General features: G+C 38.0%; 1 protein-coding gene across 2 annotated transcripts in view, besides 2 other annotated features; it reads left to right on the forward strand.

Annotated features, from left to right (window-relative positions):
• GPC6 (glypican 6) overlaps positions 1-18247 on the forward strand; it is a 1191492-nt gene that overhangs the window by 31366 nt on the left and 1141879 nt on the right. The window lies entirely within an intron of this gene.
• Positions 330-831: an enhancer, noted in NCBI's record as "OCT4-NANOG-H3K4me1 hESC enhancer chr13:93900477-93900978 (GRCh37/hg19 assembly coordinates)". NCBI's record gives its function as "activates a minimal SCP1, AML or CMV promoter by ChIP-STARR-seq in naive H9 embryonic stem cells {active_cell/tissue: H9 hESC(naive)}" and the evidence as "EXISTENCE:reporter gene assay evidence [ECO:0000049][PMID:30033119]".
• Positions 832-1331: an enhancer, noted in NCBI's record as "OCT4-NANOG-H3K4me1 hESC enhancer chr13:93900979-93901478 (GRCh37/hg19 assembly coordinates)". NCBI's record gives its function as "activates a minimal SCP1, AML or CMV promoter by ChIP-STARR-seq in naive H9 embryonic stem cells {active_cell/tissue: H9 hESC(naive)}" and the evidence as "EXISTENCE:reporter gene assay evidence [ECO:0000049][PMID:30033119]".

The raw sequence follows: 18247 nt of genomic DNA on the forward strand, positions 1-18247 counted from the left end.
AATCACACTTAAATTTCAGTTAAAACAAGTTAGGTGCATCAGATATTCAGACCAAAAAACATGAAATTATATTTTTTCCATTTTGTTGTTAACACAAAATTTAACTAATTAACTGAATCAGTTACTCGGCCTGGGCTATTGATGATGAGATAATATTACAAGAAGTTATATGTATACACATAAGCTGGTTGCTGTGATTTAGGAGTGCCAATTTATTCTTACTCAGAACATGCTTAGCAGTGTATACAAAGGTTTCCAGTATAACAAAGGGTTGACTATATATAGAAATATAGGTTAGAATGAGCTTAATTCTATGTGATAACCAAGGTTGATTTTTACAACTGGAATAACAATTTCCTAGAACAGAAAAACCTGTAGCATATTTAAAAATGAGTTTTAACCTTTCTAGCCATGATTTTAAAAAGCACAGTCTTGACAAAACTGCTTAGTCCCCTAAAGGATATATTTTCAAAAGTATGATCTTATGTTTGAAAAAAAAAAAGTCTAAAAATGTTCTGTACTTTAAAAGGCCCACAAAAAGTGTTTTTTTTTTTTTTCTTTTTTAAGTGAGCCTCTGTCACAATTACTATAATCAGGAAAAATGGAATACAAATAAGCAAGAGCAGGCTTTTTCCCAGTACGACACTTCCTACAGCTATCTTCATTCAGGGTGACAATTTCTATTTTAACCTAATTAAGTATAAGAGAGGACCAGTGTCCTAAGCCATAAGCCTGAAGGTTCCTGGAAGTACTGAGCTGCTCATTACCTCCCGGGCACTGCTGGGAGCCGCTGCCTGAAACTTCTGGAAGGTGCCACGGATGCCCAGAAGGAGGCTCTGCTGCACAGCGCCAGCCTGTAGGTGCACCACCTTCAACCGCATTTCAGCCTGGTTACTGTGGAATTGATTTTCACGGCTCATGACAGAAGCTGTTTTCAGCCCATGAAAAGGAAGTGGCTGGAGCTGATACGCCTAACACAAACAGCAAATTGCTCCATGGCTTTCATAGCATTCGAGGCCTGTTACCTTAAGGTTCTAATGGCCTTTTAACAGTGTTTCCAGCTGAGCAGCAGATGTAAAGGATACTGAACATTGAAAGCACTGTTCTTTTTTCCCCTCCCTGAAAGAATCATTGTTTACAGACATTGTACCAACACCATATCCTAGGACCTATTCACTGGCATGTTAGATTTGAAAAACTGAAACAAATTTCAGATAAATAGAAAGTATTATCAGTGCCATAAACCTACCACCTTACTGAGCTGTCTGTCCTATATTACCACCCATCAGGAACTGAGATCACTGAGGACGTATTTTCACCATTAATAGGGGCCCCCATTTGGTAATATCGCATCAGGGAAAATAATTAATGGAACCCTGTGAAACCTCTGAAACTCCTTATACTTTAAATTGATTGATTTTAATCCTAAAAATTGCTGTGTATTTCTGAAAATAACACATTTAACATTTAGAATTGTATCCTTTCTGCCTTTGGCTTCCCTTTCTGTTGTTCTGAGTGTTTAGTTTCGTCCTCTGTTGGTAAGGGTTGTGAAATGTTTGCCTTATAGGCAGCTATGGGCTTCCTGCATAGGGAACATGAAGGCCTTTAAAAGGTTTGGTCTGTTGAAAGAGGTTGGCATTTCAGTCTTGTGGACTTTTGGGAAAAAAATGTTAAACATAACTGAAGAGCCCTTGTCAAATTGGAGGTTTTTCCATTTTAAAAACTAGAGAAATAGTATGTCTTTTGATTTCACTTTGGTCCAAGCAGCGCCTCATATTTCCACTTTCCAGTGGTAACTAGCAGAGGTAAGAGAAAAACAGCCATGCGGGTGAGTCATCATTCCTCACTCCAGGAAATGGCTCATTTTACAAGCTTTTGGAAGGACCTTTGGGAAGTTGTGAGCTGCCACCATTTTTGAATTGAAAATATACATATGTTGCAACTCTGATGTAAAAGGCATATAGTTCCTTTTTCCTCCACCTCTTGGTTTCTCCTTCTCCTTCTCTTCTTGCTCATATAACCTGTGTAGTTTTCCGCAGGAGCTCCCACTTGATGGGTAACAGGAGAAAACATTTTAGTCTGATCTAGTTGAAAATGTAGTCTGATCAGTTTTGCCTTTCTAGCTGACAGTCAATCAAGTGGGATACTTGCTGTGGTGCAGTGGCTTTGACTCCTGGCTCCTCTACTTAGCCTTTTCTGAACCTCTCTGTGCCTTGATTTTTCCATCTGTAAACAGGGGTAATAGCAATTCCTATCTCTCATCACTGGGATTGTGCTACACGAATGAACACTTCTAAAGCTCTTAGAATAGTATCTGACAAGTACGAAAGGCTGTACACATGCTTGTCAATTAACACAGAGTAGAGGAGGAAATAAATCTCTTAGATTGCGGAGTGATAAAGGAGTGACTCTTTCTCACGAAAGAAAACTGAGGGTCCTAGGGCTCTGCCCATTTCCAGGGCCCTGCTGGCCTGCATATCTGGGGGTGGTATACTTTGTGATCTGCTCTTATTCAAGTTGGGAAGGACCGGGTAACTAGTCCCCTTCCTTTGGTATTCACCCTCACATTGGCCTTTCTGGGCATGAAGACCTCCTGAGTCACTGGTTTGTCACTCAACTGGCCTCTGGCCCACCTCCAGCCTTGATCACTTGGCATGGGGGGACCATGACAAGCCTCTGGTTTGCAACTCCGCTGCTTTCTGAGTTCTTCCCAGGAGGGCTCTAGGGATTGCTGAGCCAGACCAGTGCTACCCAGGTGAGGGGTGTAGCTCTCCCTCTGAGTACTCTGTGCCCCAAAGTTGACCCTAAAGTTGGTCCAGGTAGCCCACCAGGCAATCTCTTCACAGAATCCTAGGCAGAATTTGGGCCCCACATCCTGCTTCCCTTTGGCTTCCCAGCATTGAGGCAAAGCTCAGAGAGAAACTGGGTGTATTAGTTTGTTTTCACACTGCTGATAAAGACATATCCAAGACTGGGCAATTTACAAAAGAAAGAGGTTTAATGAACTCACAGTTCCACATGGCTGGGGAGGCCTCACAATCATGGTGGAGGGTGAAAGACACGTCTCACATGGCAGCAGTCAAGAGAAGAGAATGAGAGCCAAGCGAAAGGGGTTTGCTCTTATAAAACCATCAGATCTCGTGAGACTTATTCACTACCACAAAACAGTATGGAGGAAACCATCCCCATGATTCAGTTATCTCCCACTGGGTCCCTCTACAACCTGAGGGAATGATGGGAGCTACAATTCAAGATGAGATTTGGGTGGGGACATAGCCAAGCCGTATCACTGGGTGACTTGGCAAACCATTACCATTCTTCCACCTCCTTCCTTTGCACAGACCCCTTGGGCAGGGATGGGTTTGCTATCTCTTTCTCTTTCTGACTGGAATTCAAGCCCTTCTGCCACATTTAGAGACTTCTGCCTACTAAAGAGATGATGTAACAGACCCTCATGCCCTTAGAGGTGGAAACCTATAAGGAAATAAATGATTTAAGGAGCAAACAGAATGGAATCTGTTTTTAAAGTATTTGTAAAACATTATACCCATTACATAAACAATATGAAAACTTTCAAAGAATCTCTTGAGCATCAAGTAAATTGGAAATAATATGAACTTTTTATTTACATAGGAATCTTTGGGATTCCTTGCAGATACTACTATATAGAAGCAAAAGGACTTAATTCCTTGTCTCATGCTTGCAAATTGGTTAAAGTTTTCTTACCTTTTCAACTCTGGTTTCCTATCTATACAGAGAGAAGTCTCAAAATAAATGTTAGTTCTCCTTTTCCCCATTCCTTCATGACATGTGGTGATAAGAAATCTTCCTATTCCTTGTTCAGCAACAGGGAGAAAATGTAGGAGGCTGTAATCCCCACTCTAGACTTAGTCATTTTAATTTCTTTTTATGATGAGCTCTGAAGAGAGAAGCTCTAATAGAACTTTAAAAGGTGATCTTGAAATGCTGTTAAATGTCAAACAGCAAATCTTTAAAAACATTTACTTTCTTTTTTTGGTCTTCTAGTTGGAAATGGCACTGAAACATCTCTCTCATCTCATTTTTCACAGGTTTCTGTTTGTTGTTTTTACCATCAGGAGAATGATCTGTTTGATAAGTTGCTTTGATTATTTCGATTTGTTGAAACCAGTGGTTCTCAAACTTGAATGTGCACCAGAATCATCCAAAAGTCTTATTCAAACCTAAACAGGTGGGCCCCACCCTGAGAGTTTTTGATTCAGTAGATCTGAGATGGAGCCCAAATTGTGTTTCTAACAAGCTCCCAGGAAATGCAGGTGCTGGTGTTCTCTGGACCACACTTTGAGAACCACTGTCTTAAAATTTAAGACTTCAACTATCAGCAGTTCCCTTTTTTTTCCCCCCAGGGGTTTGAGAATACATTTCAAACATGGTTTGACATTCAATAACTCAAACTATTTTTCTAACTTACTTCTAGGCATTTGCCTTCTAGAAATTTCCATCTGATAAAAGATTTTTCCAATACACTTACTTTTCTTCCTGACTAATTTGATTTGTGCACACTCGTGACAATGCTGATGTCTTCCCTGCTTTTATCCACCAAGTAAAATCCAACCCTGTTGAAAGTTCTCTTCAAACTCCCTTCAAAATCCCTTTTAAATTCATTTGCCCTAAGCCTCTTGGTTCCTGTTTTCACCTTTGCCAAGCTTGTATAGTGTTTGTCTCTTTATTAGGTAACTAATCCACTTCTACTCTTATATTTTCTTGTATCATTTAAAATGAGGGACTTAGTTTTTGTTTCTCAAATTGCCTCTAAGATGTCAGAGGTCATTCTAACACATATTTTTATTCCCTGGAGCACAGTGCTTGAACACAGTAGGTACTCAATAAATAATTAAATACTCCTTGGTTGGAAATATAAAGGAATTTTTTAAACTTTGCTTTTGTTTTGTTTTCTTACCAGGCATACCTTCCAGACAACTTTCAGTAAGATCAAAATTAAATTGTGTAATGTAGAGACACCCTTATATTTTCTTTGAAAGATTGCAGCTGATAAGCTATATTGGCTTAAGCCAATGGAAATCAGTTTGCAAAAGTATAGACCACCAGAGTTTATTGTGTGGAACATGCATTTTGTTGCCTTTATATTGTTTTAAAGCATAACATTTCTCCCAATGAAGCTCTGTTTTATATAGGTATATGTCTATCAAAATGTTTTTTCAAAACATGGCATATTTTAGCTATCACTGACAGCAATTTTCAAATACCTGAAAAGATTAGAGAAGTTAAACATAAAGAGTACTTTAAATGGCAGTGACATTTCCTGGGAGATAAAGAAGTTGATATAGAGGAAATTTAGTTTAAAAAGTCAGGCCTAGGGATAAAGCAATCAAATTGTACTGCCTTTTGAATGATCTATTTATGATGGAGGCTTTGAATAATAAATTGTGCTTCTGGAATGTACATAGAAACCACTTGTAATTTTGTGGATTCCATTTTAAGCTGTTGCCTACTTAGGCTCTCTTACCTGTATCAGTGCAGGTCAGAAACAATTTATTTTTAATCACTTGACTAAAAGAATAGCATCCACATTTTCCCTGCCCTTAAGGTACACATAGAGCATTGAAGATTGACTTACAGGTGATTAATTTCAGTATGATGTGGGGAGTGGAGGGATAAACCTGCTGGGAGCCTAAAGGAGGACAGGTGAAGGTAACCATGGCTGGGAGGTGGGGGATGAGAAGAAAAACCGAGTGCTCTGATACAGTATTAATTGTTCTTTGATATAAATGGATGAACCCTAATTATATAGTTAATATGGAGGCTACATTCCTCTCTTCAATAGAAGATCATGCCCTATGAACCTCCTGAGAAATGTCAGCTCTGGTTTTACAAAACTGCATTCATTGATCTTTGTTCAAGTAAATGGAACTTGCATCTGTCCTTAGGAAATGGTATATAACTACCAAGGGAGAGATTTAATGTAAAATTAATATACTTCCCATAGTTTGAATAAAATTTCTAGAGAAATGTTAGGAAAATAATCACATTTATCACATATGATTATCCCTGCTACAGATGTGGGTTTAAATGGTGATCATTCTACCACTTCATATACCAACATTCCTTTAGCAAAAATTAGTATATGATCGTGCTGTGTATTTTAAATATTAGGCATGGTGGCTCACGCCTATAATTCAAGCATTTGGGAGGCCAAGGTTGAAGGATCACTTGAGGCCAGGAGTTTGAGACTGGCTTGGGCAACATGGTAAGACCCTGTCTCTACAAAAAACAAAATCACAGTTAGTCAGGTGTGGTGGCATGTGCCTGTAGTCCCAGCTACCGAAGAGGCTGAGAAGAGGATCACTTGAGCCCAGGAGTTTGAAGTTACTGTGATCTATGATCACACCACTGCACTCCAGCCTGGGTGACAGACTGAGACTCTATCTCTTATAAAAACAAAAATGAAAATGAAAGATCCATAGATAGTACAGCTACCATATTAAAGTGTGTATGCTTGTGTACAAAATATAAATATTTTTATAACCAAAGATGATACTAATGGTGTGGCTATTTTTTGCCATAGGTGACTAAATAGAACAATTGTTTCATGAATCCCTTTTACTAACTTTTCTTAGGTAGATGGTGCAACCAGTGGTTCCAGATGGAGAAAAGGTGAAAACAAGTTGGCATTTTTTTGTGCCCTTCAAGATCTGACTTGCTTTATTTTTTAATTTTTATGTTTTCTAGCACATTTGAAAGTGTGAACATTTAAACTCTTATTCTGTTTCAGTTTGCATATGAAGATGTTTTAAGTAAGTTCTGGAATTATATAAAAAAAAAATAGAGAGAGTGAGGATGCCCAGATGACAACAAGCAGAAAAATTCATCCTTTAAATAAAAGCCTCTATTCTCATTTGGAAAGCAAAATGTTCTCTCTTAAAAGTAGCAGCTGTAAAAAAAGCAGGAAGGCAGACCACACTAATCTAAGTTGTAAAATATGTTTTGGTAGCTTAACAGAGATTTAGCTGTTTCTGAGAAAAAAAATCAAATCTAATTTTAAAATGAAGGTATTTAAAACCATGGCACAAGGGAGCCTTATTTATGGAGCTGGTGGGAAGCCAGGATGTTTCCAATCCGCTGCTCTTACAGGAGCCTGTGCCTCGCCAGTTCTGTGCTGCAGTGGGCAGCCAACTGAAGTGCATGAGTCAAATGCACGAAGCAGCAGACACCTGTCCTTTCAGAAGGCAAGAGGTGATGAAATGAGTGAATTCCAGAACTAGTGGAAAGAAAACGTAATGATTACCCCAGATTTTTTTCTTCTATTTATTTATTTTTATTGATGCATAATAGCTGCACATAGTTTTCGGGTACGCATGATAATTTAATACATTCATAAACCTTGTAAAGATCAAATCAGTGTACCTGAGATTTCCATCACCTTAAAGATTTATCTTCTTTTTATACTAGAACCATTCAAATTCTTCTCTTCTAGCTATTTTGCAGTATATATTATTATAAACCATAGTCACCATACTGATCTAACACTGTCTCTTTTTTCTATCACATTTCAGATTTTGTTTTTCTTAAAATTGATCTGTACAAACTAATATTTCTTTCTAAAAACAAGGTGAAAAGTGTTTGGGTTTTTTTCCCCCTACATGGAATTCAAGCTTTGAACTTGTGTGTTTCTTTCAATGTCATACATACTGATCTTTATAGAATACTGAAGGTGCTGTTTCTTTTCTAAATGGTATGCCTGATCTTTGAATGAAAGGTATATCATGGTGCCAAAAACCTTCAACATTTAGCCTTGGGACCCCATTGCTTGCACAGTGGACCTATTTTCTAATCTGGAAAATATAAGCCTGTATACCAAGAATATATTTTTTGAGGCTGGGGAGTATATTTTTTTGGATAAGTTCACTAATTACCATAATAAATAGTAAATACAAATTTTCTTGTGATCTAGTACATAAGCTGGGCCCTGTGGCTCATGCCTGTAATCTCAGCATTTTGGGAGGCCAAAGTTGATGGATTACTGGAGGCCAGGAGTTCAAGACCAGCCTGGCCAACATGGAGAAACCTCATCTATATTAAAAATACAAAAATTAGCTGGGTGCAGTGGTGCACGCCTGTAGTCCCAATTGCAATTGCTAGGGAGGCTGAGGTATAAGAAATGAGAATTGCTTGAGATGTTGTAAGTTTTAAGCTTGAGCCCAGGAGGCAGAGAGTGTAGTGAGCCGAGATTACCCCACTGTACTCCAGCCTGGGCGACAGAGTGAGACTCCATCTCAAAAAAAAAAAAAAAAAAAAGATCTAATACATGAAACCTAATTTGCTAAAACAATTATGTTTCCTAATTTCTAAAGAAAATTTTTCTGTTTCATTTGGAAAAAAATAAGACAGAAAGTAATGACAGTATGATTAAAAGTTGCTTTCCTATGGACAAGAGAGATCGTCATTTTTTTTTTCCTTAAAATGCGTTTAGTAGGAATAATTTATCTCTCCTCTTACCTCTTAAAATATTTTACTTAAATATTTTGGAGCAGTAATCACTTTTTAACTTGTTATTACAAATATGAAATATAAATATTTGGTATATTTGATTAGTCTTCCCTTAGTCTGTAAACTCTGAAAGGCAGGATCAGGTCTCATTTATCCTGGCATAGCCCTCAGTGCCTGGCTCAGATAAGAAATTTAGTACACATATAATGAACAATCAAATGGTGACAATGACCTAGGCTTTCATTTGATTCCTAGAAAACAACCTCTATGTAGATGTTGACTAAGTCCTGTATGTTCTCTGTTATGAAAAATACTCTGTATACTACTAGGCATGTGCTATCATCCAGTCCTTATATTACGGCTTTTCATTTAGATTGATTTTTATGGAGCACATGAACTTGGCCCTCAAGGAGCTTACTCTGTAGGAGAATACAAAGTATGAGGTGTCATCAAAGGTATTTCACATTGAGACTGATGTTGAGATGTTTCTATACCATGTCAATTAGCAATCTAGAGGGTAAAATTTATACTGAGAGCAGGTACAGCTAATGTTATACATTATTTTGTCCAACCTAATCTTTAGAAAGATATCTTCCTTGCCTTTTGCCTGTAACTTTGTGAAAAAAAAAGCATTGTTAATGGGCTGGGCATGGTGGCTTAGGCCTCTAGTCCAGGTGATCTGGGAGGCTGAGGTGGGAGGATTGCTTAAGGCTAGGAGTTCGAGACCAACCTGGGCAACATAGTGAGATCTTTTCTCTACCAAAAAAAAAATTATCAGGCATGATGGTACATGCTTGTAGTCCCAGCTACTCAGGAGGCTGACGGGGAGGACTGTTTGAGCACAGGTGGTGGCTGGGGCTGCAATAAGCTATGATCATACCACTGCACTTAACCTGGGCAACAGAGCAAGATCCTGTCTAAAAAAAAAATCATTGTTATAAAACCATTACTTTCACTATAAGTGGAATGGTCTACACTTACCTTTCTTAAAGGATAAAATAGTCTCTTCTCTTTTCTCTCGTTATAGCAAAAGTATCAGATGATTGGCCTTTCCATATAGTTGAAGGTCACCCATTAATGAAATGAAACAGAATCAAGGTAAACTATGGAAATTACAGTAAGATTGTTAAAAAGAGGCTTCATGTTGCAACACTGCATATATGTTCTGATAAAACAGAACATTTATTGAGCTCTCTCTAGGTCCCACATATTGTTTTAAACTCTTGTAGTATCTCGCATAATCCTTACATCATCTTTTCATCATAGGCATCATCACCACATTTTACAGATGAGGAAACTGAGGCAGAGAGGAAACTGGGGCAGAGACAATTCACTTGTCCAAGGACACAGGTGGGAAAGCAGATAAGCCAGGCAGATTCTAAAGCCCACATACAAAACTACTATCTAGGTGAATTATATGATTTCATTTTCAAAGGAGAAAATTAACTTTTTCTAGTATTAAATTTCTCAAATCATTGAGCTACATACCCTGTAATGCAATTCTTTCCAAATATTAGGAAGCATTTAGCTCTCAGTTGTTAGAGAAGGTAAGAAGTAGTAAAAAATTATTCCGGTATTGAGACACTTCTAGAAACTTCCAGTAAGATCAAGTGATAGCTTATTAGTTTGATAGACATTTTAGTCATTATGGGTAAAACTTTGTAGTATTACATTGTCATTACTCGGGCTGTTTGCATCTGAATGCTCCTCTTCAGTTTGAGAAATTCCCATCCTCTTGAGTCTTCATGGGAGGCAGAGCTTCCCTAAAGTTACAGAAACTGAAAATTCCAGATGCTTGCTTTCCCCAGCTCCTTTGCATCCAAGGTGTGGGTACATGACCTACAATAGACCAATGATATATGCCAGTCTCAGTCTTTGCTTTGGCTACTTGTAACACAAAGAAGCAGCAACAGTGAAGAACTCATTCTGCAGGTAGCAGTGGCCAAATGGCACTCATGGAGGTTTCAGCATTGTCCTCAAGTATCCAGTGCTGAGGGTCAGGAATAGGGCTCTCTGTGCCATAAAGGGCTCACTGGCTACAATGGTGCCCTTTATGGATGGCCTTGGTGGTTTGATCTTGGCTGTGGTCTTGGCTGATGCTTCACTTGTTCCTACTTGTCTTCCTATCCTAGTTCTTCACCCCCAAGTTTCTGTAAATAAATCCTTTCCTGTGTAAATTAGCCATAATTAGTTTCTGTGGCATGTAACTAAGCTCTGAATGGTGGGATGTGAGGGGCAGAAGACAAACAATCTTGGTTAAAAATTACCTCCATGGGGGTGGGTACAATGGCTCATGCCTGTAATCCTAGCACTTTAGGAGGCTGAGGCAGGAGGATTGCTTGAAGCCAGGAGTTCAACACCAGCTTAAGCAACATAGTGAGGCCCCATCTCTACAGAAAAAATAAAAAATAAAAAAAAATTAGCCTGGTGTGATGCCATGTGCCTGTAGTCCTAGCTACTTGGGAGGCTTAGCTGGGAGGATCCCTTGAACCCAGAAGTTTGAGGCTTCAGGGAGCTTTGATTGTACCAGTGCACTCCAGCCTAGGTGACAGAGTGAGACACTGTCTCGAAAAATGAACAATAACAAAAACAACAACAAAGCTTCCATGGTAACTTCTGAAGCTGGAAAATAATGGTATGTATCTGGTGAATGCAAATGAGTACAAAGACTGAAGAGAGAGAATCATTTTAACGGTAGGGTAGGGTTATTGATTACTTTTCGTGCTGCTTTAGAAACAAGCTCCACTTCTCTTTACATTTCTTTCCACTGTAATTTCTCATTGGATTTCTATGTTCATAATATGTGCTCATGAACCACTTAAAGGCGAACCCATGCCTGATATTCTGTTGAGTTCTGTTCAAAAGGGATCCGATTAAGCCATGCTTCCTCATGTTAGAGCAGCTCTATGGAACTTTAGGGACTGATACATGGAGTTCTGTGGAAGTGGGTGAGTCCTAAGAGTTGTGAGCTATCTTAAAGGTACAAAAAGACAAGCAGAAAGTTAAATGGGAATATAATCAGATTTATGTAGAAGCTTCCTAGTAATAGGCATTCATTTTTTTCTCAGGAGTATAGTAATATGATCCTCATATAGGGTAAATAATGTTTTTGTGCTTTATTTTGTATACTGATATTTCTATTTATCATCTTTCATCTTTTAAGGGACTGTATCTTCCTTTATTCTTTATGAGTCTTTTGTTTGTTTGCTTGTTTGTCTTATTTTTCCTGTGAGTTCTTTTTCCAGTCAGTTTGTTATTATAGGGAACTGAATTATTTCTAGGGTAGGAGACATCCATCTCATCTTAACCACAGTCTTAGCAAGTGAATATGCTAACCTTCAGATAGTTGGGTTCCAGAGTATACATAGGAGTATAAAATGGATAAGCTGATTGTTTCCCCATTTAATGATTTTTTTAATAATAATATAGTCAATTTCAATATCTTGTGTGGTAGCATCATTAGAATGGTATTGCTTCATCACAGTTACTGGATGTCATGATGACTGTATATCTCATTATTCATGTTGTATAACCTCAAAAGCACTAAGAGAATAAAATGGAAATTAAAACACATTTTTGAAGTTCCAGATTTACTTACTTAATATGGCTTAGTTCTAGGCATTGTACAAACATCAATGAAATAAAAGACTTTGTAATATGAAACCAGAGTTAAATGAGGAACAAGAAAGAAAATTACAACATTTGCAATGATTTTTTACTGTATTCTTTCAGTGACCAATTCATATCGAGAAAACAAAAAGCAGTATAACTTAGTGATCACTTATTTGTTTCTACAGAAGAGCCTTCATTTTAGTAAATATTAACTTGTAAAGGGCTTTTTATTGAAGAGAAACAATCTATGCCAATGTATTACTAATTTGAGAATTAGCTAAGGGTTCAGTGTTTTTAGTTTAAAATTTGGCCATCACGTAAAAATAATTTTATTAATACCATTCATTTTGTTAATAGAATTCACTCAGTTGGCCTTTCAACTGAGTTCTATAAAGAGTATATAAATTTGTAAAATTTGGAAAAGAATCTCAGTGTCAAACTCCATAGGAATTTAAGAATAGGAAACTTTGAAATAAATATCTTTGGCTAACAGACGCTCCTAGGACTTGTTATCACCGCCTCTTAGGTGAATGTCTGTTTTAATTGTTCAGATTAAAAAACTACTCATGTCCTCAATTTATAATATTATTGATCAGTACCTAGAACATTGTTGTATTTAAATCACATTACAGGACACACTGCCGAAGCATTATCCTAGATGGGAAAATCAAAGGCAAGATTTACAATTTATTTTATTATAGACTTGGCCAAACTTTGGCTTTTGAGTCCTTAGTACCATTTTTCATAGTGCTACTGGGAGAAATTATGCAAACTGGTATCAGATTACCCAACATACCAGGAATGTGCTTAGCAAACAGGGGCATCAAAAAGCATTTGGAAAATAATAACTCTAGCAATGTAGTAGTCATCATGATAAAAATTAGAATTTGATTGTATTTTCTTCCTTTTTTGGTAGTTCAGTATTGGTTTAATACTGAATTATAAAATGTTATGGTGGGTGGGAATACATGATTATGTTTTTCATGCTTAGGGTCAGACACCTTTCCTAAAACTCTTGATATGCAAATTCCTTCACTAATACCAGATAATTTTTCCAAAAGGAAAGTAGTTTCTTATTCCTCTAGACCCAAGGACCTAGAGATATTACCATGTCTTTGCTTTCCTTTCTGAAGCCTGTATTGATTATTGACCATGGTTTGTTTCTCCTACAAAGCCAATTCTATGAGATATGGGCAGTTAGGGAGAAGGGAGCTTGAGGGGCACAGGTTTTAAGAGGGAGAGAGAAGTCAACAATTGCAGACTGGTCTTTTATGGTAGGAAACATTGGGATTTTTAAATCAGTTATTCCAAATTCAGTAAGTACCTGTTTTTAGGGTTTTCTAAGACTTTCCATCTTTCCAGGAATGATTCTTCTTAATGATGAATCTCTGGAACTAGGAGCATTCACTGTGGTTTGACAAGAAGTTCAGCTCTCAGGAATAGCACATTTTCCTGTAGTACTGCATTTACTTGAAACAGCTGGGTTTACATGCAGCATAAATACTGCTTTTTAACATTCGAAGGCATAAGAAGAATCCAGTATATAAGTGCCACTTTTAGATAAATATATTTTGTAATTTCTTTGCATGGAATAAAAGAGAAAACAGTGTCTATTCCTAGGGAAATTGAGTGTAAATCCAGCACTCCAGAATTCCCTGAGAAGTGTGGTTGCTGTTTGAAGATTTTAAGCTCCCCCAGGGATGGGTTTATGCAGTTTCATTTGTTTCACATGTATTTTGCCCAGGGTTGGACAAACAGATAAGCTTCTTAACTGGTGGATTTAACTGTCTCTTCACTTTTGAGGTGTCAACCTGGTATATAGTGAAAAATGTTAAGGATAGGCAAATGTCGTTGGGAATAAACAGATAAATAAAGATGAGGTAACTTTAGACTTTCTGGCATTATTCACATTTATCTCCTATCTCTCCCTCTACACACACACACACACACACACACACACACACACACACACACTTGCATATATTATATATTTTGTTAATGTGAAGTCATTTATGAGAGTGCTGATGTTGGAGTCAAGATACATAAATTCTGACTACAAGACTATGACATATTGATGAGTATACAGGAAATAGCCCCTCAACCCTTAGCTTTTCACACTTTTGGACAAATTCCTAGTCCTTCCCACTCTCCTTGAAACATTTTCTTGGCTTATACAACATTCCTCAAGCCAAAAGTAACTTTTACCTTTCTCAGGTCCAGATGTCAGGGGGTTGTAGTGACAATTATTTTGGAAATAATGGCTTCAGATGTCCCCTCAGCAGAGGAAAGAAGGAAGGGTTCCCGAAAAAAAAAGTGAGCTGGAGAGAGCAATTTTAAAAATGGGTGAAAGTGTGGATCCTTTCACGCCAAGTTACACTTAAGTTTTCTTGCGAAATTAAATGTGATGAAGGCCTACAGTCCATTAAAACTTGCACAATTGACACATTGTGACAAATCCTTCCACATGTCTCATTTTCAAAAATTTATTTATGAATTGGTAACACAGAAATACTCAAGTGATAAAAACGGATAGGCCTCTTTAGAGGCTATTCTTATAGGCAATTGTAATTCTTCCAGTGATAGTTTATAGAAATATTTATATTTCATATGTTAACCTAAATGGTATCATACCCTACACATTGTAAAGCAGATGTTTTTCTACTTAATTTATCTGGAAATGTATTCCATTTCAGTGTATAAGGACTTGCCTCAGTTTCCCCCCACACCCCCAAGTTGCATTTTATTCCACTGTACAAATATATCATACTTGATTTAGCTGCTACCAGTGGACTGGGGGAGGTTCCCAAACACTGCTGGGACCTGGACCCCAGCTGATGTCCAGGCTCTTGATGCCATTGCAAGAAGGAGTTCAGGGATGAGTCAGTCAGAAAATAGTGAGAGTAGAGAGATTTATTGCCAAGGGAAAAGGACACTTAAGAAAAGGGAGTGGAGGCATACTCAAGAGAGAGTCATACAAATGGAGTCTGGGTTTGCTAGCTTTATGGGTTTTTTTAACAAAGGAGTGCAATATTCGTGAAAATTCCAGAAAAAGGGTGGAGATTTCCCAGAACTGTGATGCTACTAATTTTTACAACAAATATGGGTGTTCTGGGAACTGTCATGGCACTGGTGGGTGTGTGATTAGTATGTTAATGGGCACATAATGAAGTCTTAGGGGAAACCTAGGTCAAATTCAACACCATGTTGGAGCCAGTTGGTCTTAGCCAGCTTGGCCCACACCGTGGGTTTTCAGGGTCTTATTAGCTCATAGCCTCTGTAGCTATTTTATCTGTTTCCTTTTGCTAGTCATGTGAAATTGCTGCTTGGAGTTTTTTGTTGTTGTTGTTGTTGTTTGTTTTTTGTTTTTTTGTTTTTTTTGTTTTTTTCTGAGATGGAATTTCGCTCTTGTCACCCAGGCTAGAGTGCAGTGGCATGACCTTGGCTGACTGCAACCTCTGCCTCGTGGGTTCAAGTGATTCTCCTCCTTCAGCCTCCTAAGTAGCTGGGATTACAGGCGTGTGCCTCCACTCCCGGGTAATTTTTGCATTTTTAGTAGAGACAGGATTTCACCATGTTGGGCAGGCTGATCTCGAACTCCTGACTTCAGGTGATCCACTGGCCTTGGCCTCCCAAAGTGCTGGGATTACAGGCATGAGCCACCACGCCCCGCCACTGCCTGGAGTTTTCTGTTCTCCTGCGACCACTCTGTATTATTCCTATCTGATAGCTAGTGGCCTGCATATGTAGGGTGTTTTGTCTTTATTACAAACCACACTATAGTTAATGTCCTTACACGTGCATATTTTCATGAAAGTGGGAATGTATCTCTAAAAGAAATTCCTGGAAGTATAATTGCTGAGGAAAAAGTTACAGGCACTGAGCATTTTGGTTGACATTGCCACATATTTCTCTCTGTTAGTTGTGCCAGTTTACTCTCACACCAGCAGCTCAGACCACTCAGAGTCACTTGTTGCACACCTCCAGGGGCCTGTTTACGTGACGGTATCTGTGGATGGAGTTGTGCTGTGTCTGTAGCTCCTGGCCTATCCCTGCTTGATGCTAGCTCATTGCTCTTCTGCTACTGGGGCCCTTGGTAGTTTTTCAAGGGTCTGGGCTTTCTAACTTCAGATGGAGTAGATGGATGAATGAAATTCTCAGATTCCCTCAGGCATCCTTTCTCCTTAGGGATTATGCACCACTGCAGAAAATAGCTGTGGTAAATAAAAGTAGAAAAATGAACTATGTGAGTTTAATGGTACACTGAAAACAAAGTACAGATATCCCTCGGTATCCATAGGGAATTGGTCCCAGGACCCCCTGTGGCTACCAAAATGCACAGATGCTCTAGTCTCATATATAAAATGGCATAGTATTTGCATATAACCTATGTACATTCTCCCATATACTTTATTTATGAATTTATTATTATTTTTTGAGACAGATTCTTGCTCTTTTGCCCAGGCTGGAGTGCAGTAGCACAATCATAGCTCCCTGCAGCCTCTAATTCCTGGGCTCCAGTGATCCTCCCACCTCAGCCTCCCACTTTGCTAGGACAACAGGCACACACTACCACAGCTGGCTAACTTTTTAATTTTTCGGTAGAAACAAGGTCTCATTATGTTGCCCAGGGTTGAACTCCAATGATCTTCCCTCTTTGGCCTTCCAAAGTGCTGAGATTATAGGTATGAGCCACCACACCTGGCTATCCTGTATACTTTAAATCATCTCTACATTACTTATAATACCTAATACAGTGTAAATGCTATATAAATAGTTGTTATATTATATTTTAAAATTGTATTATTTTTTATGATTGTATTATCTTTTAATTTTATTTTTTTTTCCAAAGGTTTTCACCCCTCCATTTGTTGAATCCAGGATGTGGAACCCATGGATAGAGGGCTTACCGTATTTAGAATAGAATATGTGAATCCCTATATAGTAAGCCCAGTCTTCATTCACCAACACTTTTTTTATAAGAACTTCATAAAGGATGATAAGAAAATCAGATTATGAAATTTCTTAGAGGTCTACTCTCTGAGTTCTTAAATCTGGCCTGCTTTATTTTAGACGCCAAACATATGGCCATAGCTCATTATATGCTTAAATGCTGATGCATTTCAAAACCATTGATGCTACTCTGTGAAGGACCTGAGAGGAAATTATAGTAAGATATATGGTTAGAAAGATAGAAGCTGTAAAGTGAAATTCTGACCTTTAGAAAGAGCTGCCATAAACTTTAAAGAAATCAATGTGTTTGTTAAGAGCTATATTTAAGTTTCCTTTTATGTATTTAATATATATCAACATATTTGTATATATTCAAGTTGAGCATCCCTCAACTGAAAATCGGAGATCCAAAATGCTCCAAAACTGGAAACAGTTTGAGTACTCGCATGACACCATAAGTAGAGAATTCTACACATGGCACATTGGATTTCCGATGGCTCAGTATGCACAACCTTCATTTCATGCACAAAATTATTAAAAGTCGTATTTAAAATTACCTTCAGCCTGTGTGTATGAGGTGTATGTGAAACATAAATGAATTTCATGTTTAGACTTGTGTCCCATCCCCAAGATATCTCATTAAGCATATGCAAATATTTGAAAACCTGAAAAAATCTGAAATTTGAAAGACTTCTGGTCCCAAGCATTTCAGATAAGGGTACTCAGCTTACACTGGTGTATGTGTATATGTCTATTTCAAATATACATGCAATGAGATGCCAGAGCCAGCTTTTATTGGCCCACAAGAGCCAACTGTTACATTTTTAGGCATTTTTCTTTTATTTCTTTTTTTTCTTTTTTTTCTTTTTTTTTTCAGTTTTGCCCAGGTTGGCCTCGAACGCATAGCCTTGCCTCCTTATGCGCAAGGACAACTGGCAGGAGCCACCGCAGCTCTCAATTTTTAGGCATTTTTCAAGGAGTTGTCCTGATATTCATAGGTTGAAATCAACCAAGGTAAGAGTGTTTATATAACAGAAATTGGCAAATACTTAAAACCAGGGCGTTACTTCCTGGAAAGCTGATTGTTACCAGCCTACCACTGTACATGTGTGTGTATAGTCTATACTCTATCTAAAAATGAAGACACCTTCAGAAATATTAAAACTAATTTGTTTTTGTTTACACTGTCTGATTTCCA

The sequence above is a fragment of the Homo sapiens genome, chromosome 13 (genome assembly GCF_000001405.40).
Source record: "Homo sapiens chromosome 13, GRCh38.p14 Primary Assembly".
Taxonomy (NCBI): Eukaryota; Metazoa; Chordata; class Mammalia; order Primates; family Hominidae; genus Homo; species Homo sapiens.